General features: G+C 40.5%; 1 pseudogene across 2 annotated transcripts in view, besides 1 other annotated feature; it reads right to left on the minus strand.

The window, feature by feature from the left end:
* The window catches only part of LOC101929322 (integrator complex subunit 4 pseudogene), a 62731-nt pseudogene that overhangs the window by 32413 nt on the left and 7691 nt on the right, over positions 1-22627 (minus strand). The window contains exons 2-5 of one of the 2 annotated variants that reach the window (NR_157838.1): positions 20884-20972; positions 18107-18227; positions 3423-3494; positions 882-1056 (exon numbers count right to left, since the gene is read on the minus strand). The product of NR_157838.1 is annotated as an integrator complex subunit 4 pseudogene, transcript variant 2 (transcript). The remainder of the gene's footprint in view (positions 1-881; positions 1057-3422; positions 3495-18106; positions 18228-20883; positions 20973-22627) is intronic. The other variant, NR_157837.1, reaches the window with a different exon arrangement.
* Positions 7542-8042: an enhancer, noted in NCBI's record as "H3K4me1 hESC enhancer chr7:64997202-64997702 (GRCh37/hg19 assembly coordinates)". NCBI's record gives its function as "activates a minimal SCP1, AML or CMV promoter by ChIP-STARR-seq in primed H9 embryonic stem cells {active_cell/tissue: H9 hESC(primed)}" and the evidence as "EXISTENCE:reporter gene assay evidence [ECO:0000049][PMID:30033119]".

A 22627-nucleotide genomic window follows, 5' to 3' on the forward strand; every position in this document is an offset into this window, starting at 1 on the left:
CTCTTGGAAAAAAAAAAACTTATTAATCTAGAATTGGATTCCCACAAAAATATCTTTCTATATTTATTTATTTATTTATTTATTTTTTGAGACAGAGTTTTGCTCTGTTGCTTGCCCAGGCTGGAGTGCTGTGGCACGATCTCAGCTCACTGCAACCTCTGCCTCCTGAGTTCAAGTGATTCTTGTGTCTGAGCCTCTCTAGCAGTTGAGATTACAGGTGCATGCCACCATACCAGCTATTTTTTGTATTTTTAGTAGATCCAGGGTTTCACCATGTTAACCAGGCTGGTCTTGAACTCCTGGCCTCAAGTGATCCTCCAGCCTCAGCCTCCCAAAGTGCTGGGATTACAGGTGTGAGCCACCACGCCTGGCCCAAAAATATCTTTCAAAAATGAAGGTGAAATAAAATATTCATCAGTCATATAAAGGTTTGGCAGTCAGACATACCTAGGTTTAAATCTTGCTCTGTCTCTTACTAGCTGGGTAAGTAATATCAAGTTATTATTTTTATTAATATCAATTTTAATTACCAATTATTAAGTGCTTATTATAAATAGGCACATGTATTATGCCAAGTGCTTTATGTATACAGAACCTCATTTAATTCTCACAACTCAGAAAGATAGTTATTATTATCCCTGTTTTATAAAAATGCTGGAATTTAAATATAGATTGACTGAACCCAAATCTCTTGCTCTTTACCATTGTCTCACACTACTGGGGCCTCAGTCTCTTCTGTGTGTAAAATAAAAAGCATAGTAAGTACTTCCCAGAGTTACTGTGAGGACTAAATGAAACGATACATGTGTATCACCCAGTACAATGCCTGACACACAGCAGTCACTTAAAGAGTGCTATTGCTATTATACAGTCATACTTACCATACATCTCATCTTCCAACCCATGAACAAAAGCTCCACAAGCTCCTGACTCAATCAAGTTCACAGCCCCGGTATCTACTTCTTCCTTGGGAGCATCATCTTCCCACTTTCTGCCACTGGAAAACTCCCCTGAACTGTAAAGTTCCTTGGCACGCTCATGTGCAGTACGTTTCCTCTGCAGAGGACAACAACAATTACCAATTGTAGGAGGTTCATGAAGGAACACTAAGATGAACCCTGAGAACATGGGAAGGCAGAAAATAAAACTGCTCTTTGAGAGTTACGTTTGTAAAAATTATCAGTAGTTCATACAAGAGAAATGCAAATTCAACTTAAAATGAAACCAAAGCCTTGCTGGTCTATAATAGCTGAAAGTACCTAATTAAAGAGGATAAAGATAGCTGAAGAATGTGTTAAGAAAGTTGGTTATGTTTGCTGTGGCAGCAACATAGGAAAAGAGAGAGCCAGAGAGGCAAATAATGGCAGTGCCCCTCCAAAAAACCATCTTGGGTAGACAATACATTGACTCTAAGAAAACAATTATCGGGCAGGGAGCAGGTGGCTCACACCTGTAATCCCAGCACTTTGGGAGGCCAAGGCAGGCTGATCATGAGGTCAGGAGATTGAGACCATCCTGGCCAACATGTTGAAACTCCATCTTTACTCTAAGTACAAAAATTAGCTGGGCGTGGTGGCACGTGCCTGTAGTCCCAGCTACTCAGGAGGTGGAGGTTGCAGTGAGCCGAGATCATGCCACTGCACTCCAGCCTGGCGACAGAGTGAGACTCTGCCTCAAAAAAAAAAATTATCTTCAGTCCCAGTAAAAGTATTTTTCTATTTGGCAACATTGCGTTCTATTTCAGCTACAGTACAGTCACTAAATAATCTAGTAAACTCACTTTACACAGAGATTGCCTAAGGTGGAATATACCGGTTAGTGTATCCAGTCCACTTGACAGTTATGGTTCTCATCACAAATGAATGACCTGGCACTCTGCTTTATACATCAGCCTCTCATGAAACCCCATCTCTAAAAAACTACAAAAAATTAGCCGGGTGTGGTGGTACACACCTGTAGTCCCAGCTACTCAGGAGGCCGACGTGAGAGGATCACTTGAGCCCAGGAGGCAGAGGTTGCAGTGAACCAAGATCGCACCACTGCACTCCAGCCTGGGCGACAGAGCGAGACCCTGTCTCAAACAAAACAAAACAAAACAAAACAAAACAAACAAACAAACAAAAAAACCACGCACCAGAAAAAGAGCTGAGAGACATATACCAAAATGACCAAAGTCATTATATTAGGGTAGCAGGCATATGGGTAAATTGTTTTCCTTTCCCTTATCAAAAATTCTACAACTCTATAATATCACTTTTATAATTTCAAAATTGAGGTACTAACAATGAATGTACATATTATTTTCTCAGACTCAAATTTGGTTCTGCAAACCACGTTAGTGAACCATCACAATCAAAGCTTAAGGGCATTTCATAAGAGGCATTTGGGGCCGGGCACAATGGCTCACATCTGTAATCCCAGCACTTTGGGAGGCAGAGGCAAGAAGACTGCCTGGGCTCAGGAGTTCAAGACCAACATGAGGAACAGAGCAAGACCTCATCTCTACTAAAGATAAAAAAAATTAGCTGGGCATGGTGAGGTATGCTTGTAGTCCCAGCTACTCAGGAGGGTGAGGTGGGAGGAATGCTTGAGCCCAGGAGATCAAAGTTGCATTGAGTAATGATTGTGCCACTGCGTTCCAGCCTGGGCAACAGAGTGAGACCCAGTTTCAAAAAAAAAAGAAGAAAAAATGGCGTGGGGTGGGGGGTATTTTGTTACTGTTTGGAGAAAGGCTTTACTCAGTCTTCCATGGTAACTGCTGCTGAAAAGGAGTCCTAAAATGTCATACCATCTCACAAAATGAGAATGGGCCTTTGTAGTTCCTAACAAATAGAAAATTAATCTTTTGGGGTTTTCTGGGGGTTTTTTGTTGTTGTTTTTTGGGTTTTGTTTTTTGAGACAGAGTCCCACTCTGTTGCCTAGGCTGGAGTGCAGTGGTGCGATCTCGGCTCACTGCAACCTCTGGTCTCCAGGGTTCAAGTGATTCTCTGCCTCAGTCACCCAAGTAGCTGGGACTACAGGCACATGCCACCACACCTAGCTAATTTTTGTTTTTTAGTTGAGACGGAGTTCATCATGTTGGCCGGACTGGTCTCAAACTCCCGGCCGCAAGTGATCTACCTGCCTCAGCCTCCCAAAGTGCTGGGATTACAGGTGTGAGCCACTGCACCTGGCTTAGAAAATTAATCTTGCCTCTTTTTTGTAAAGCATAACCTGTGCAAAGTATTTCATTACAATAATACGAAATTTAATGAAGTCACTTGTTATTTGCTTCAATTTACTAAGATTTTAAATTAAAATGTAATACAGTTCTCATACGTTAATTTAACAAATGCTGCTAAGTTAAATCAACACAACTCACAATACTGCCCCCCTACATTGGTTACAGAAACCCAGTTTAAACAACGAAGAATAAAAGGTACCCTCAGATCTGACATCAGCTTCTTGTCAAGGGTCTGCTCCAAGAAATGAGAACTGACTTGCTCCATAGAGCCCTATAAAAAGAAAAATCCAGAGCATATAAAACAACTTTTATGATTTGAACATTATCTTAAAATTCAGTCTATAGCCAATTTAAGTGCATAAAGATAATATTATTCATGACAGTAAAGATGCTATGGGTTCTGAATCAGCAGGAAAATAAAAATATTAGCAGCAGCTAACACCTAAATAGAGCTTACTATGTGTCACCTACTGTGCTTTCTTTCTTTTTTTTTTTCTTCCTGAGATGGAGTTTTGCTCTTGTCACCCAGGCTGGAGTGCAGTGGCATGATCTCAGCTCATTGCAACCTCCGCCACCCAGGTTCAAGCAATTCTCCTGCCTCAGCCTCCTGAGTAGCTGGATTACAGGTGCCCGCCACCATGTCCAGCTAATTTTTTTGTATTTTTAGTAGAGACGGGGTTTCACCACGTTGAGCAGGCTAGTCTCAAACTCCTGACCTCAGGTGATCTGCCTGCCTCGGCCTCCCAAAGTGCTGGGATTACAGGCGTGAGCCACCACGCCCGGCCACTATGTGTCATGTACTATTCTAAGGGCTTTAGACGTATATTAACTCATTTAAATCCTCACTATAACCCTGAGAAGTAAATACTATATTAGTCCCATTTTATATATGGAGAAAAGACACAAAAAGATTAAATAACATATTGACGGTCACAAAGAATAAATTCCAGAGCTAGGAGATAAATCCAGCCTCCAAAATCCTTTCCCTTAACGACTACTCTCCACTCCTTTTCATTCTTCTTTCCATTCATCTGTTCATTCATTCATGCATTCAATTAAACAAATATTTAGCAACCATTCAATTATATGTCTACAGTTACCAGGAACAAGAATACAAAAATAAAAAGACAACAGCTGTACACTCAACAATCTCACAGACTAGTAAGGGAAACTGACAAGGTATGCAATGCTGTAATACACATCTATGAATGATGACACGGGAATGGAGAGAACAAGCAGTATTAAGGTACAGGCAGGGAGAGGTATACTTGGAGAAATGAAAATCACAGTGCAAATGCCAAGTGGGAAATATTAAGTGGTTTTACGAATGGAACGTAAGATAGGGCTCCTGAAAATGAGGCAGTAGAGATAGGATAATAAAGAGCCTTATTTGCCATAGTAAGGGGTTTGCCTTATAAATAATTGTTACATAATCCCTGTTAAACATCTAATGAGCTTAACAATGTATAAAATATTTTACTTATATTTTTCCAATTTATTCTTCCCAATAATCCCATATACCTCTTATCCCCATTTTCTAGATGACAAACGAGGCTGAGATTAGGCAACTTACTCATTTTAAGTAAGGGAGAACATAGATTTATATTTCATAAAGCCCATCTTGCAACAGTATGACTAATGGACCATAAGGAATCAAAATGAAAGCAAAAAGACTAGTTTCAGAGGCTGTTGGAGCAGGTCCTAGACGTTAAGAAATTTATCTGAGATCTTCTCTAATTCCTAAGTTAATAAATGCGGAAATGCTTATACAGGCTCAGATCTTTTCTCTAACCAAATTTTTCATAGAAAATTACATGTTCCTGGGGAATGTCCTTACTCAAGTTAACACCTTTCCTATGATTCCACAAAAACAACTGCTGTACTATTTTGACTAAAGTAGTTTCAAAACCACTTTTTCTTTTGTTACACAGATCTGAGTCAATGTCATATCTAACATCCATTTTTTAAATCCCAACAACAATTTTATAAATAAGAACTATAAACGCTTAAGACCTCCTAAATCTCTCTCTACTTTTACCACCAGCATTAGCTGTTGGCTTTTTTCTACTAGAATAAAAGTTTTCATGACTTCACAGTAAGTTGCTTCATCCATAATTCCCAGTGCCCTCCTCCAATGCCCTCAGCTGCACGCTCAACCAACACAGCAGCACAGAGGGAGTACTATGCAAATTTGTGCCCCCCAAAATTAAATATCATTACTTGAAATAAATTTTCAATGTCACCTAAGAATAGGTGAAGCTTTCCATTTTAAGTCCACAGACACAGAGTCCTATAGCATAGTAATCCACTTGAAAAATGGTGAGATGTCTATTACTGCAGGACCAGTGGAAATGGAGAAGGGATGGATTTAGGGGATGTCAAGAAGGAAGAACTGATATGAGTTGTGACTCAATGGATGTAAGACATAGAAAAACTATTCCTAAATTCCTCTGGTTCATGACTTAGCAGATGATAGTATCACTTACGAAAACATAGAGAAACAGATTTGGACCAAAAAGATAATGAGTTCATTATAAAGTGCACCTCACCAATGAGAAAAAAAGCTACATTCTGGTATACTTTAACCAAGACAAATATGTTTAGATTAAGATGGAATCTCTCCAACTGTACTACTAGCACTACTTAACAACCTAAATTTAGGTAGTTAATGCTATGAAAACCTTACTTAACACTGAGAAAACCATTTCACTTGAGAGCCTTATTAAATGTATGTGAAATTTAGATACAAGATATTTAACAATTATCACACCTGCTTGAAGAGCAAAAACTGCTCAACTGGTATAAATAACATAAGTCTATGCAACTGGGTGATAAGTACATCAGACATAAAACTGCCACTAACTAGGAATATCTGCATTTACCCTGGGAAAGACCAGTCATGGGCAGACTTACAGGCATAAAAGTCTATAACCTAACAGTCTGAAAATGTTGTAATTTTCAAGGTCAATGACTTCTTAAGGCTTATAAAAGTAGTGATTGTATTCTAAATAGTCCCATGAATCTGCTTACTGGGACCTCAAGTTTCTTTGCCCCACAAAGAGGGCAGTTATAAATAAGTAAAAGCTAACCTCTTTTACATGGTTTTGAATTTTCTGATATAACACATATCAGAAAATTTTTCATACGCTATAAGCCAAAGGGATTGGAAACTATTCACTTTTTAAGCAAGATAGACTCGAGGCTACAAAGCTAAGTTGTTGCAGAACCTGGCTTCTGTTTTCCTCTCCAACTTACCTCATTACAGATCCCCTATATTGAACATTACCCCCCAACTAGAAAGCACTAGACTGCTTGTAGTTTAGTATGATATTGCAGCTTAGTATATTGCTATGCATGATAATGTACTGCTTTTATATCCCTGCTCATATTTTCTCTTTCTCTGCATTGCTACCTAGTTACTCATCCTTCAAAACTCAGTTCAGAGATCAGCTCCTCCAAGAAGGCTTCTGTGGTTGTGGTTGGTGCTCTTTCCTACCAGTACCAGGTATTGTTATTCACTGATTAGCTATCCCTGGCTACCTGACTGTCAACTTCGTTGCAGACAGAAACTGTCCTCGGTGTTTGTCGATTTGCTGAACAGGTGATCTAAAGATTATACAGGTTGAACATCCCAATTCCAAAAATCTGAAATCCAAAATGCTCCAAAATCCAAAACTTTTTGAGTACCAACATGATGCTCAAAGGAAATGTTCACTGGAGCACTTCAGATTTTGGATTTTGGAGCATATTTCAGATTTGGGATGCCCAACAAGTAAGTCTAATACAAATAAAATATTCCAAAATCCAAAAACAAAACAAAACAAAACAAAATCCAAAACACTTCTGGTCTCAAGCATTTTGGATAGGGGATACTCAATCTGTATGCAGATTTGTTTAAAAAAAATGGCTCACCAGAGTTACCTGGCACACATCACCCACAACAAAAAGAGACCAAAATAACAAATAACTATATTTCAACTAAAATGACTGTAGATATATGCTGCAGAGCACCAGAGAAAGGGCAAAATCCCTGTGGAACATGGAAGCCTCAGGATAGCACCACAGGGTGAGGCTTCCTACCTGCCACATTGTCTCCCTTGCCAAAATCAGCTTAAAATCAGAGGAACTTCTTACAGGGAAAGAGTAAGCTGGAGATACCTATCAGTGGTCCCCACTGCTGCCACAGGCACCAGCAATTCTTGATAAAGGACAGTCCTTAAGTCCTCAGTGGCCACAAATCCAGTCTGGAGAGTAGCCAAGAGATCATTCAGCTGTATTGCCTCAGAGTGGGAGCCCACCTTGTCCTAAGCTGCTGTAGCATGGCACCAAGTTGAAGCTAGACTCACTACTAGTGTGCATCCTGCCCTGGGGACCAGTAGCAACTGACTCTCTTCATCCCTGAGAACCAGCCATCATTCTACCGTGATCACACGATGGCCTGCAGCACCATAACCCCATCCACATAGAGTCTAGGTCAAACAGAGTGACGATGATTTCAGCATCAGACCCCACACAGCGCTACCAACCACCCAGAAAACAGGCAGACCTGCACAGCAAGGAAGCCATCAAATAGATAGCTGGCAGCGCTTTACCCAACACCCCTGTTCCATACAACCATCTGGGCTGCCAAGTATGCATGCGCCAGTACTCAGCCAAAAAGCCAATCCTGCGGCAGCCCTACTTCCTCACAACCCATCACAGAACCACCTGCCCACGCCCTGCCTGATAGCTGGCAATTCAGTGGTCCTGTCCCCTAAAACAGGCCACAATAGAGTCCCACAGTCCCACAGCACACAGTCCAACTGGTCCTGTGGTAGCCCTGGCCCCCTACCATAGACTGCTGCCAAACTGCCCAGCCCCACTGCACAAAAGCATTTGAGCCTAGCCCAAAGCAACAGCCAACCAGGCAGTAGCCCCATCTCCCTACGTAGCCACAGAGCTGCCCAGCAGGCCGCTGCAGCAAAGGCCTGAGCCCAGCACGACAGCCACCACAGCAGTAACTACCGCCTCCCTGGAAAACCAGATAGACAGCCTGGCAGCCATTTTAGCCTGTACATGTCTTGGCCAAAAATCAGCTCGGTACCCTCATCTTATAGCATTGCCATCACAAACTCCCACAGCCTAGGCAACTGAGGCAATTGCAAACATCAATGACTAGGATTATAGCTGAAGATTACAGCTGAAGCTGACAAGGATTATTACACCACCCATTGAGTCCACCCAGAACCAAAGGCAACACACCATACCCAGCTAATACCCTAAAACCATCTACAGAAAAAGACTGTTACTATATACTAGCTACTCAATAAAATTGAAAAGAGCAACTACGCTACTAAATGCACACATATCAACATCCAGTATCTTGCACACGATAAATGAAAATCAAGGAAACATGACACCCTCAAAGGAATACGGTTAAGTCTCCTGGCTGGGCGCAGTGGCTCACATCTGTAATCCCAGCACTTTGGGAGGCCAAGACAGCCAGATAGCATGAGCTCAGGAGTTCAAGACCATTCTGGGCAACATGGCAAAACCCGTCTCTACAAAATATAAAAAAATTAGTCGGGTGTGGTGGCATGCGCCTGTAGTCCTAGCTACTCAGCAGGCTGAGGTGGGAGGATCACTTAAACCCAGGAGGAGAAGGTTGCAATGAGCTGAGATCATGCCACTGCCCTTCAGCCTGGGTGACAGAGCAAGACCCTGTCTCAAAAAAAAAAAAAAGGAAAAAAGTCTCCAATGACAGACCCCAAAGAAAAGGACACTTACAAAATGCCTGAAAAGGAATTCAAAATAGTGATCTAAAGGAAACTCAGTAAGATACAAGAGAATACAGACAAACAATTAAATGAAATCAGGAAAACAATTCATGATCCGAATGAGCAATTCAACAGAAATCAATATCATAAAAAAGAACCAAACAGAAATCTTGGAACTGAAGAATTCAATGAAAAAAATAAAAATAGTATACAATTGAGAGCTTCAACAATAGACTAGGATCAAGCAGAAGAAAGAATTTCTGACCTTGAAGACAGGTCTTTTGAAATAACCCATTAAGAGGGAAAAAAAAAACAAATAAGAATAAAAAAGAAAGCCTTGGAACATATGGGACATCAATAGGCAAACAAATACTTGCATTGAAGATTGCCTGATGGAGAAGAGATAGAGAAAGGCGCAGAAAACCTATTTGATGAAATGATAGCTGAAAACTTGCCAAGTAGTGGGAGAAATACGGACATCCAGATTCAGGAAGTTCAAAGGTTCGCAATTACATTCAACCCAAAAAGATCCTCTCCAAGGTGCATTATAATCAAACTATCGAAAGTCAAAGAGTAAGACTTTCAAAGCTGCAAGAGAAAATTGTCAAGAGAATCTCCATTACTATCAATAGATTTCTCAGTAGAAACCTTGTAGACCAGCAGAGAATGGGATAGAATTAATATATTCAAGGTATTGAATGCTACAACTAGAAACAAAAGGACAATAATCACTATCATAACAACACACAAAAGTGTAAAACTCACCAGTAAAGGTAAACTCATAAATCAAACAGATCAAACCCCAGTGATACAATATGTCATATAAAATATTCAATCTGCTAGTATGAAGGTTAAATTTAAAATGGTCAAAAACTACAACAGCTACAAATAGTAGCTAAGGAACACATAACAGATGAAGAAGAAAATTAAGGCAACAAAAATATAAATTGAAGGGGGAGGGAAAAAACCTAGGGTCCTTTTATGTAACCAAAGTTGAGTTGCTATCAGCTTAAAACATTCTATTGTAACTGCAAGACTTTTTTTTTCCCCTTTGAGACAGTCTTACTCTGATGCCCACGCTAGAGCATAGTGGCCTGATCATGGCTCACTGCAGCCTCAATCTTCCAGGCTCAAGTGGTCCTCCCACCTCAGCCTCCTGGGTAGCTGAGACTACAGGTGTGTGCCACCATGCCCGGCTGATTTCTTTTTTCTTTATTTAGTAGAAACGAGGTCTCACTATGTTGCCCAGGCTGGTCTCAAACTCATGAGCTCAAGCGATCTGCCTGCCTCAGCCTCCCAAAGTGCTGGGATAATAGGCAAGAGCCACCACACCAGCCTAACTGAAGACTCTATGTAGAAAAAAGTTACAGCAGATACACAAACAAGAAAGAGAATGAAAACAAAGCTTGGCCCCACAGAAAACCACTAAATCAGAGGTAAACAACAAGAAAGGAAGACAAGAACAAAGGATCTCCAAAACCACCAAAAAGTAATTAACAAAATGGCAGGAATAAGACCTTATCTATCAATAACAATCCTGAATATAGCTGGACACGGTGGCTCATGCCTGTAATCCCAGCACCTTGGGAGGCCAAGGCAAGCGAATCACTTGAGGCCAGGAGTTTGAGACCAGCATGGCCGACATGGCAAAACCCGTCTCTAATAAAAATGCAAAAAAATTAGTTGGGCATGGTGGCACATGCCTGTAATCCCGGTACTGGGGAGGCTGGGGCACGAGAATCACTTGAACCCAGGAGGTGAAGGTTGCAGTGAGTTGAGATCACACCAGTGCATTCCAGCCTAGGTGACGGAGTGAGACCCTGTCTCAAAGAAACAAAAAAAAAAAAAAAAAAAAAAAGAAGAAGAAGAAGAAGAAGTAGAAAAAAATCTTGAATATAAATGGATTAAGTTCTTCAATTAAAAGGTACACTACAGCCTGGGCAACAGAGAGACACCCTGTCTCAAAGAAAGAAAGAAAAAAAAGGTATACATTGGTTGAATAGATTAAAACACAAAATCTAAGTATACATTGCCTAGAAGAAACACGCTTCACAAGCAAGAATCAAAACATATACCAAAACCTATGGTATGCAACAAAAGCAGTTCTAAGAGATAAGTATACAGCAATAAATGGCTACATCAAAAAAGAAGAACAATCTGGTTTTTAATTTTTTTTAGGGACAGTTTCGCTGTTGTCCAGGCTGGAGTCCCCAGGAGTTTGAGGTTGCTGTGAGCTATGACTGTGCAATCGTGGAACCGCACTCCAGCCTAGGCAACAGAGCAAGACCCTGACTTAAAGAAAATAAAAAAAGAATAAAATCTTGTAATTTGCCACATCGATTAACCTGGAGGACACCATGTAAAGTGAAATAAGCCAGACATGGAAAGACAAATACTGCATGATCTAAGACTTAAACATAAGACCTAAAACCATAAAAACCCTAGAAGAAAACCTAGGCAATACCATTCAGGACATAGGCATGGGCAAAGACTTCATGACTAAAACACCAAAAGCAATGGCAACGAAGCCAAAATTGAGAAATAGGTTCTAATTAAACTAAAGAGCTTCTGCACAGCAAAAGAAACTATCATCAGAGTGAACAGGCAACCTACAGAATGGGAGAAAGTTTTTGCAATCTATCCATCTGACAAAGAGCTAATATCCAGAATCTAAAAAGAACTTAAACAAATTTACAAAAAAAAAAAAAAAACAACAAAACCCCATCAAAAAGTGGGTGAAGGATATGAACAGACACTTCTTAAAAGAAGACATTTATGCGACCGACAAACATATGAAAGAAAGCTCATCATCACTGGTCATTAGAGAAATGCAAATCAAAACCACAATGAGATACCATCTCACACCAGTTAGAATGGCAATCATTAAAAAGACAGAAAACCACAGGTGCTGGAGAGGATGTGGAGAAATAGGAACACTTTTACACTGTTGGTGGGAGTGTAAATTAGTTCAGCCATTGTGGAAGACAGCATGGCGATTCCTCAAGGATCTAGAACCAGAAATACCATTTGACCCAGGAATCCCATTACTGGGTATATACCCAAAGGATTATAAATCATTCTACTATAAAAACACATGCACACGTATGTTTATTGCAGCACTGTTCACAACAGCAAAGACTTGGAACCAACCCAAAGGCCCATCAATGATAGACTGGACAAAGAAAATGTGGCGCATATACACCATGGAATACCATGCAGCCATAAAAAAGGATGAGTTCATGTTCTGTGCAGGGACATGGATGAAGCTGGAAACCATCACTCTCAGCAAACTAACACAAGAACAGAAAGCCAAATACCATATGTTCTCACTTATAAGTGAGAGTTGAACAATGTGAACACATGGACACAAGGAGGGAAACATCACACACCAGGGACTGTCAGAGGGTGGGGGGCTCGGAGAGGGACAGCATTAGGAGAAATACCTAATGTAGATGATAGGTAGACGGGTGCAGCAAACTACCATGGCACATGTATACCTATGTCACAAACCTGCACGTTCTGCACATGTATCCCAGAACTTAAAGTATTCAGAAAAAAATTGATATCATAGAGGCAGAGAGTATAACAGTGGTTAGCAGACACTGGGGAGGGGAGGGAGTAGGAGAGAATGGGAAGAGACTGGACAACAGATACAAAGTCACAATTAAGAGAAATAAATTCTGGTGTTCAACTGCACATAAAGGTGACTATGATTAACAGGAAAATATTGTATATTACAAAATATACAATATTATAGCTGTAAGAGAGGCTGTTGAAAGTTCATGACAAAGAAATGATAAATATATGATGTGATAACTATACTAACTATCCTGATTGGATTAATATTCAACATAGATGTGTATCAAAACATCAACTTGTGCCCCATATATACAATGTGTCAATTTTTGTTTGTTTGTTTTATTATACTTTAAGTTTTAGGGTACATGTGCACAATGTGCAGGTTAGTTACATATGTATACATATGCCATGTTGGTGTGCTGCACCCATCAACTCGTCATTTAACATTAGGTATATCTCCTAGTGCTATACCTTCCCCCTCCCCCCACCCCACAACAGGCGCTGGTGTGTGATGTTCCCCCTCCTGTGTCCATGTGTTCTCATTGTTCAATTCCCACCTATGAGCGAGAATATGCGGTGTTTGGTTTTTTGTCCTTGCGATAGTTTGCTGAGAATGATGGTTTCCAGCTTCATCCATGTCCCTACAAAGGAAATGAACTCATCCTTTTTTATGGCTGCATAGTATTCTATGGTGTATATGTGCCACATTTTCTTGATCCAGTCTGTCATTGTTGGACATTTGGCTTGGTTCCAAGTCTTTGCTATTGTGAATAGTGCCACAATAAACATACGTGTGCTTGTGTCTTTATAGCAGCGTGATTTATAATCCTTTGGGTATATACCCAGTAATGGGATTGCTGGGTCAAATGGTATTTCTAGTTCAAGATCCCTGAGGAATCGCCACAGGTACCAAAACAGAGATATAGATCAATGGAACAGAACAGAGCCCTCAGAAATAATGCCGCATATCTACAACCATCTGATCTTTGACAAATCTGACAAAAACAAGAAATGGGGAAAGGATTCCCTATTTAATAAATGGTGACGGGAAAACTGGCTAGCCATATGTAGAAAGCTGAAACTGGATCCCTTCCTTACACCTTAGACAAAAATTAATTCAAGATGGATGAAAGACTTACATGTTAGAACTAAAACCATAAAAACCCTAGAAGAAAACCTAGGCAATACCATTCAGGACCCAGGCATGGGCAAGGACTTCATGTCTAAAACACCAAAAGCAATGGCAACAAAAGCCAAAATTGACAAATGGGATCTAATTAAACTAAAGAGCTTCTGCACAGCAAAAGAAACTACCATCAGAGTGAACAGGCAACCTACAGAATGGGAGAAAATTGTTGCAATCTACTCATCTGACAAAGGGCTAATATCCAGAATCTACAATGAACTCAAACAAATCTACAAGAAGAAAACAAACAGCCCCATGAAAAAGTGGGCGAAGGATATGAACAGACACTTCTCAAAAGAAGACATTTATGCAGCCAAAAGACACAGGAAAAAATGCTCATTCATCACTGGCCATCAGAGAAATGCAAATCAAAACCATAATGAGATACCATCTCACACCAGTTAGAATGGTGATCATTAAAAAGTCAGGAAACAACAGGTGCTGGAGAGGATGTGGAGAAATAGGAACACTTTTACACTGTTGGTGGGACTGTAAACTAGTTCAACCAATGTGTCAATTTTTAAAAATTAATTAATTTTTAATGAAAGATTATACACAAATCACTTGATCCCAGGTTTATCTACTGGAGAGCTGGAGTAGGGCAGCTTTACCTCTTAGCTTGCACAGAGATACTAATAAACCAGCAGGGCCTTAACTGGCCAATCCCAATGTGTAACTGGATACTCACCAGGAAAGGATTATACATGGGCTTTAGATTATGAAGTTTGAAGTCCTCATCTATCATTTACTATCTGTGCGGTCTCAGAAAAATTATACCACATTCCTAAATTTTAATTTTGCTATTTATAAGTAATACATTTACCTCAGAGAGTTTAAAAAGATTAAAAGTTACTTGCAAAAGTATGCAAATGAGTTAGGCATGTGTGCTTGTATATAAAGAAGTGGGTTAATATTTATGTGTGAATATGTGTGTATTTATGTGTGTATGTATGACTAAAAATGCCTCATTTAGTAGGCCAGGAACTCTATACATAGTAGTAATTATTATTATCAGCAAGGTAAGAATGATTATTATTTCTGAATACAAACATAATTACTTATATAATTTGAAGCTGTTCGGATTTAACATGGAATTATAACACAAGGCATGTGACTCAAGTTAGAGTCATTCAAGTAGAAATCCTTTCAATGTACCATATGTTATACATACAACTTTATGCAAATAAATTTCAGATCCTATAGAGTACAAAACTGAAAATTTTGAATGTTTCTTACTTTAAGGATTACTTTTTAAAACTGCCTATTCAGGTAAAGATATATCATTAATTTACTCCTCTAAAACATCTTTCTCTTCCCCACTCCCACCTAGAGTTCGTTGTAGATCCTCTGTAAATGCCAAATGAAAGGATCTGATGAATGATTAGACTGTTCTGAATTTTAAAACATTCATAACCCAAAAGAAAGTTTTAAAATATGAATTCAGAAATAAAATCAGTAACAGCTGGCTTGTTTAACTCTAATATGCACAAGAGTGGAAATACTCCAATCATCCATTACTATATCTCATGAAAATGCTTCACACAGGTTTCAGCAAGTACTCCCATAAATACTGGTCACAGGACTAAAGCTATCACTGGATCAGTGTCCAGTACAGTCAGAAACAAAGCATTCAGCCAACAGTCTCACCAAGAGTGGCAGGGCTGGGGGCACTCAAAGGGGAAGTGTCCAAAAAGAATCACAGATTTTCCTGCTGTGACACGTATACAAATTTTTATAGATACTTACACACACATATAGTTATATACTATGCCCCCATCCACCCTACATAGTATAGTACTTTTTAGTTTATAAACATTTTCATAGACTGTATCTCATTTGAGCATCATGACAACACTGTCAGGTAAATATGAGAGATATTAGAACCCCACTTAACAGATGAGGAAACTGAGACTAATATCAAGTGACATATACAAGGTAACACAGATATAAAATAAGGCTATTAGGCCAACACTCTATTACAAAACAATTTTATCCCTTAAAAGTTAAACAATTTTTTTTTTGAGACAGGGTCTCGCTCTTTTGCACAGGCTGGAGTGCAATGGCACAATCTCAGCTCACTGCAACCCCTGCCTCCCAGGTTCAAGTGATTCTCCCACCTCAGCCTCCAGAATAGCTGGAACTACAGGTGTGTGTCATCACACCAGGCTAGTTTTTGTATTTTTAGTAGAGATGGGGTTTCACCATGTTGGCCAGGCTGGTCTCGAACTCCTGACCTCAAGTGATTTGCCCGCTTCGGCCTCCCAAAGTGCTGGGATTATAGGTGTGAGCCACTGCGCCTCTGCCTCCCGGGTAACCTCTGCCTCCCGGGTAACCTCTGCCTCCCGGGTTCAAGCGATTCTCCTGTCTCAGCTTCCCAAGTAGCTAGGACTAGAGGCGTGCACCACCACGCCCAGCTAATTTTTGTATTTTTAGTAGAGACGGGGTTTCACCATGTCGGCCAGGATGGTCTCAATCTCTTGACCTCGTGATCCGCCCACCTTGGCCTCCCAAAGTACTGGGATTACAGGCGTGAGCCACAAAAGTTAAAAATTTTCAATAAATGTGCTGAGTCCTCAAAAAGAAAACAGAAAAGTACCAGGCTAAAAGATGCAAGATCAGGATCTGACCTCACTCTACAATTTTCTGTCTGTATAAGCTGGATAACTTACTTAACTCCTCAGAGCCTTAGTTTTCTCATCTAGAAAATGATAACAGCATTTAAAAAAATTTTTTTTAAATTTTATTTTTTGAAAAATAGAGATGGGATCTTGGTGTGTTGCCCAGGCTGGTCTTGAACTCCTGGGCTCAAGTGACCCACCCACCTCGGCCTCCTAAAGTGCTAGGATTATGGGCATGAGCCACCATGCCCCAACTGGATAATGGCATCTATCTTGCAGGATTACTGTAAAGAGAAAATGAGAAAATATATGTAAGGGGCCTCCTTCAAATTATCTAAGATAGTGGTCCCCCACCTTTTTGGCATCTGGGTTCAGTTTCATGGAAGAAACCAGAGAGGGTAGTGAAGCAGGGTGGTTTTAGGATGAAACTGTTCCACCTCAGATCATCAGGAATTAGACTCTCACAAGGAGCATGAAACCTAGATCCCACACATGCTCAGTTCACAATAGGGTTCACACTCCTATGATAATCTAATGCAGCTGCTGATCTGACAGCAGGCAGCACTCAGGCAGTAATACTTGCTCATCTACCACTCACCTCCTGTTGTGTGGCCTGGTTCCTAACAAGCCATGGACCAGGACTGGTCCACAGCCTGGGGGTTTGAGCCTCCTGAACTAGGACATAACAAGTGCTTAATAAATGGGAAAAACTTTTTTTTTATTGTTTTCCTTTTTCTCTAGGCTCCGGCTATCTTAATTCCTAGTAGGGTTAATAGAATTATGTTTTAAGATTCTTTCTAGTTCTAAAAGTGAACAGGAGAGTGAACTATTTCTTTCTATATTAAGAAATTCTGGGGCTGGGAGTAGTGGCTTAAACCTGTAATCCCAACAATTTGGGAGGCCAAGGCAGAAGGATCACTTGAGCCTAGGAATTCAAGACCAGCCTGGGCACAAAGCAAGACCCCATCTCTACAAAAAATACAAATTAGCTAGGCAGGGTGGCACATGCCTGTAGTCCCAGCTACTCAGGAGGCTGAGGTGGAAGGATCGCTTGAGCCTGGCAGGTCGAGGCTGCAGTGAGCCGTGACTGCACCATTGCACTCCTGCCTGAGCAACAGAGGAAGACCCTGTCTCAAGAAAAGAAAAAGAAAAAGAAATTCTGGGGTTTTAAATTCAGGTCACACTGCCCCATCTGTAGTTTCTCAAAATGTTTGTAAAAACTTAACAAGCAATGTGTTCATTTAAAAAAAGGATTATTGGCTGGGTGTAGTGGCTCACATCTATAATCCCAGCCTTTTTTTTTTTTTTTTTAAGATGAGAGTCTCCTCCTTGTCACCAGGCCGGAGTCCAGCAGCGTGATCTTGGCTCGCTGCAACTTCCACCTCCGGGTTCAAGCGATTCTCCTGCCTCAGCCTCCCAAGTAGCTGGGATTACAGGCGTGCGCCACCATGCCCCAGCTAATTTTTGTATTTTTAGTAGAGACGGGGTTTTACCATGTTGGCCAGGATGGTCTCAATCTCCTGACCTCGTGATCCACCCGCCTTCGCCTCCCAAAGTGCTGGAATTACAGGTGTGAGTCACCGCACCCAGCCTATAATCCCAGTCTTTTGGGAGGCTGAGGCAGGAGGACTGCTTGAGGCCAAGAGTTTGAGACCAACCTGGGCCACACAGGCCTCATTTCTACAGAAAAGAAAACAAATAAATATATACATGCATTCATACATACATAAAAAGTATAACTTACCAACAGTTTTGCTGCCTGAACATGAACCACCCAAGAGCCATCACTGACCATGTGACAAATTTTTCCAAACGCATCATCAACTAAGCGTATTTCTTCATTAGAAGAAGGAATTGGGACAATGCTAAATTAAAAGAAAAGAAATGAAATCACTTAGAACAAAACATGAACCTAAGTCTGCAGATTCAGGCCATGCACAGTGGCTCACATCTATAATCCCAACACTTTGGGAGGCCCAGGCAGGTAGATTGCTTGAGCCCAAGAGTTCAAGACCAACCTGAGCAATATGGCAAAACCTCATCTCTACAAAAAAAATACAAAAATTAGCTAGGCATGGTGGCATGCGCTGATAGTCCCAGCTACTTGGGAGGCTGAAGTGGGAACATAACTTTAGCTCTGGAGGTGAAGGTTGCAGTGAGCTGAGATCACACCCCGGCACTCCAGCCTGGATGACAGAGCAAGACCCTGTCTCAAAAAATAAATACAGTCTGGGTGCAATGGCTCACGCCTGTAATCCCAGCACTTTGGGAGGCTGAGGCAGGTGGATAACTTGAGGTCAAGAGTTCGAGACCAGCCTGGCCAACATGGTGAAACCTCCTCTCTACTGAAAATATAAAAATTAGCTGGGCACAGTGACACATGTCTGCAATCCCAGCTACTCAGGAGGCTGAGGCAGGAGAATCGCTTGAACCTGGAAGGTGGAGGTTGCAGTGATCCGAGATAGTGCCACTACACTCCAGCCTGGGCAACAGAGCGAGACTCCATCTCAAATAATAATAATAATAATAATAAACAAATAAATACATAAGTAAGTAAGGCTGCAGGCTCAATAAACTGAGAACAGTCAATGAAGACTGACACACACAAAAATGATAATTGAATAGTTCAAATCCTAGAATGATTAAATACAGTTTGAAATAAACAAATCACTCTAGGAGTACAAACCAACTCTTTCAGTTGCATTGCAAATTATGCTTTTTTTTTGAGACAGGGTCTCACTTCTGTCACCCAGGCTGGAGTGCAGTGGCATGAGCACTGCTCACCGCAGTGTCAACTTCCTGGGCTCAGGTGATCCTCCCAGTTCACTCTTCTGAGTAGCTGGGACTACAAAAGCATGCCACCACACCCAGCTAATTTTTTATATTTTTAGTAGAGACGGTTCACCATGTTGCCCAGGTTGATCTCAAACTCCTGAGATCAAGCAATCCGCCCGCCTCAGCCTCCCAAAGTGCTAGGATTACAGGGCTGAGCCACTGCAATCAGGTGCAAATTTTCAATGTATTGAATAAAAGTGTGTAACTCACCAAAGGTTCAGCCAGGCGTGTAATCCCAGCACACTGAGATACTGAGGTGGGCAGATTACCTGAAGCCAGGGGTTCAAGACTAGCCTACCCAACATGGCAAAACCTCATCTCTACTAAAAATACAAAAAATGAGCTGGGTGTGGTGGGGCACAACTGTAATTCCGGCTATTTGGGAGGCTCAGGCATGAGAATTGCTTCAACCCAGGAGTTGGAGGTTGCAGTAAGCCGAGATCACATCACTGCACTGCAGCCTGGGCCACAGAGCAAGACCCTGCCTTAAAAAAAAAAAGTACGTAACCCACCAAAGGTTCAAAGATTTATGAAATTATCAAAAACTAGCTTCCACCGAATATTTCATATCCTTAAGTTTATTATCTTCTGTAACTGAAATTCTTCTTCTTCTTCTTTTTTTTTTTGAGAGAAAGTGTCTTGCTCTGTGACCCAGGCTGGAGTGCAGTGGTGCGATCTCAGCTCACTGCAATCTCCACTTCCCGGGTTCAAGCGATTCTCCTGCCTTAGCCTCCCTAGTAGCTGGGATTACAGGCGTGTGCCACCATGCCCGGCTAATTTTTGTATTTTCAGTAGAGATGAGGTTTCACCATGCTGGCCAGGCTGGTCTTGAACTCCTGACCCGAGGTGATCCGCCCACCTCGGCCTCCAAAAGTGCTGGGATTACAGGCACCACCGTGTCCAGACTGAACTTCTATAAATACATTAAATCTCAGAATAAATCAATATAAAACTTACTTATCAATCCAGTCCTAAAAGAAGAGACAATTTCCACTTAGCCCTTTTCTTTGTATGTGTCTAAGTCCTAAAATGGAGTCTACTACAAATGGAGCCTACTCCTACAGGTTTATTAATCCATTCTGGTTTTCAAATTTTGGCAGTTTAATGAAGAGGAAAAAACACCTCTTTTTCCTATACAAGGAAAAATAAAATATTCTATAAATATTTATAAATAAAAGATAAATATTTATAAATGTAATATTCTATCTTACAAAATATAATAAATAATATTGCCTACCTCCTCAAAGAATCACTGTGGTTAACTTAATTGCTGTGAAAATATTTTTAACCAGGAAAACTACATAAGAGATCATTATTCTCAAACTCATCTGGTATCTTTGTCTGGCATTTGGCGCAAGCCAAACTAAAATGGGTCCCAAACAATTTTAAAGATTTTTTTGTAAAGTACTGAAAACCATTTAAGAAAGATATTCCAATTTCTTCACTTATGGATGAGAAGATTAGGACAAAAGAAGTGTCTTTCCGAAGGTGTACAGAAAGTTCCTATCAGAGATGAAAAATGAGGACCAGGCAATCTGATTTTCAGGGCCTGTGCTTTTCCCTTACTCCCCATTGCCTTCCAAAAATCTAACCAACATTTCTTTTCTAGAAGTGGGCTTTTTGCATGGTGAGAGGAGAGGAAAACGGCTTCACAATCAACAAAAGCCAGCTTACACCCGCACTGACCTTTCAGGATAGAGCTGACTGACAACCCAGATAAGCTAGACTGCAGCACTGCGCACTTGTTCATAGTCATCAGAGAGTAATTTACAGGCCTGCAAAGAAGAATTCCAAAAGTCTATTAGTTCTGTGTCCTCTCAGGCAATGTTTAAACTATTTTCAAAGTGAAGATATAGGGTAGTTGGATAAGGATGCCCAGTAAAACACTTGTGTGTGGTTTTAACTTCTTGAATCTTTGCTTAAAAATGAATCTTGACCTCTGTCAGCTGCTCTGGCTATATTCTGACTATGCACTCTACCCCACATCTGGAAGGAGAATCACAGACTGACGGCATAAAAACATCTAGAACAGATCAAACCCAGCAAAGCATGCTGGGAGCCCACAGTACTGTTCTCACAGGCTCAAACACCAATTATGGGTTTTTCCTCCCCCTGTAAAAATCAAAGCGCACACTTCTGTTTACCTTGGTCTGAAATCATTGGCCTCTGTTTCAATCCACTCACTCTTTCTGGGTAGCCCCATACTCCCTAAATACTGATGGCTCCGAATACCTACCCTTAGCTCTGATTTCTCCTGATCTCCAGACCTTTATAACTACTTATGGCTGGAATTCTCTTCACGGATGTCCCATCAAACTTTTGTACCCAACACACGCAAACCTGAACTCATTAAGGAAGCAAATTCTACCTTATATCTTAAATTCTACACTATCAGTCCATCCTCACTCCCTTGATGCTGTCATTACTGCTTGCCTAGATTACTAACAGAGTCTTATGCCACCAAACATCTGAATCAGCCAACTAACTTCCGTTCCTCTGAGTCCTTACTATCCAAGTTTCCTTTAAATTACTTGGCTTCCCACATAGTATCAAAAAAAAAACCAAAAAAAAAACCGAGGAAATAGTACATGAAAAAGCAGAATTAAAACAACTGAGTATATGTTTAAAACTGCAAAAGGTCACTTTTTCAGAAAAATATTAAAATATTAAATCTAACAAATATCTAGGCAGATTGATGGAGAAAAATACAGAAAATGCACAAAAAAACCAATTACCTGGAATGTGAAGGATACAAAACGTCAGCAGTTGTAGATTTTAAATAAGCAATGACTTTGAGTTCGACCATGATTGGGTATATTGAAAAGAATCTCTCAGAAAAAAAGAAAAAGAAAACTGTTATAAAGCTATGTACAAAATGTTAAGCACTATTGAAGTCTTCCAATTCTACCAGTTATGGAGTTATTGGTCTTGGACTAATTCTCCTGAAAAGAAAAAAACAAAACAAAACAAAAAAAACTAAAAACTGGGATAAAATAGCCTACCGTGGGCACTGGCAATGCAACCGAGCACGTAGGACATGGGTGCTACATTCTCTTTGTCAGAACACAAAGCATTCATACACTCTTCTCACCCTCACTCTCACCTTTTAATCTTAGATCTACTATTAAAAGTATTCAACATTACTATCAATCCTTTGGTCAAAATTTCTTTACTCACATTTTGCTTGATGCACTTGGATAGACTGTTCAAGAAAGTGTGAGTAGTGAATTCCTCAAACTCTTGCATATTTAAAATTACATTTTTGAGCCTTGATGCTTGAAGTGTAGCTTGGGTAACGGGTGGGCTTTAAGCCAATTTTGGCATGCAAGGGGTTGAGTTTATTAGGCATCAGCACCGCTGAAAATCGTGGGGATGCAGGCTTAATTTCAACACTATTCTAAATACTTGAAAGATATTATATAACTCTTTA

The sequence above is a fragment of the Homo sapiens genome, chromosome 7 (genome assembly GCF_000001405.40).
Source record: "Homo sapiens chromosome 7, GRCh38.p14 Primary Assembly".
NCBI classification, from domain to species: Eukaryota; Metazoa; Chordata; class Mammalia; order Primates; family Hominidae; genus Homo; species Homo sapiens.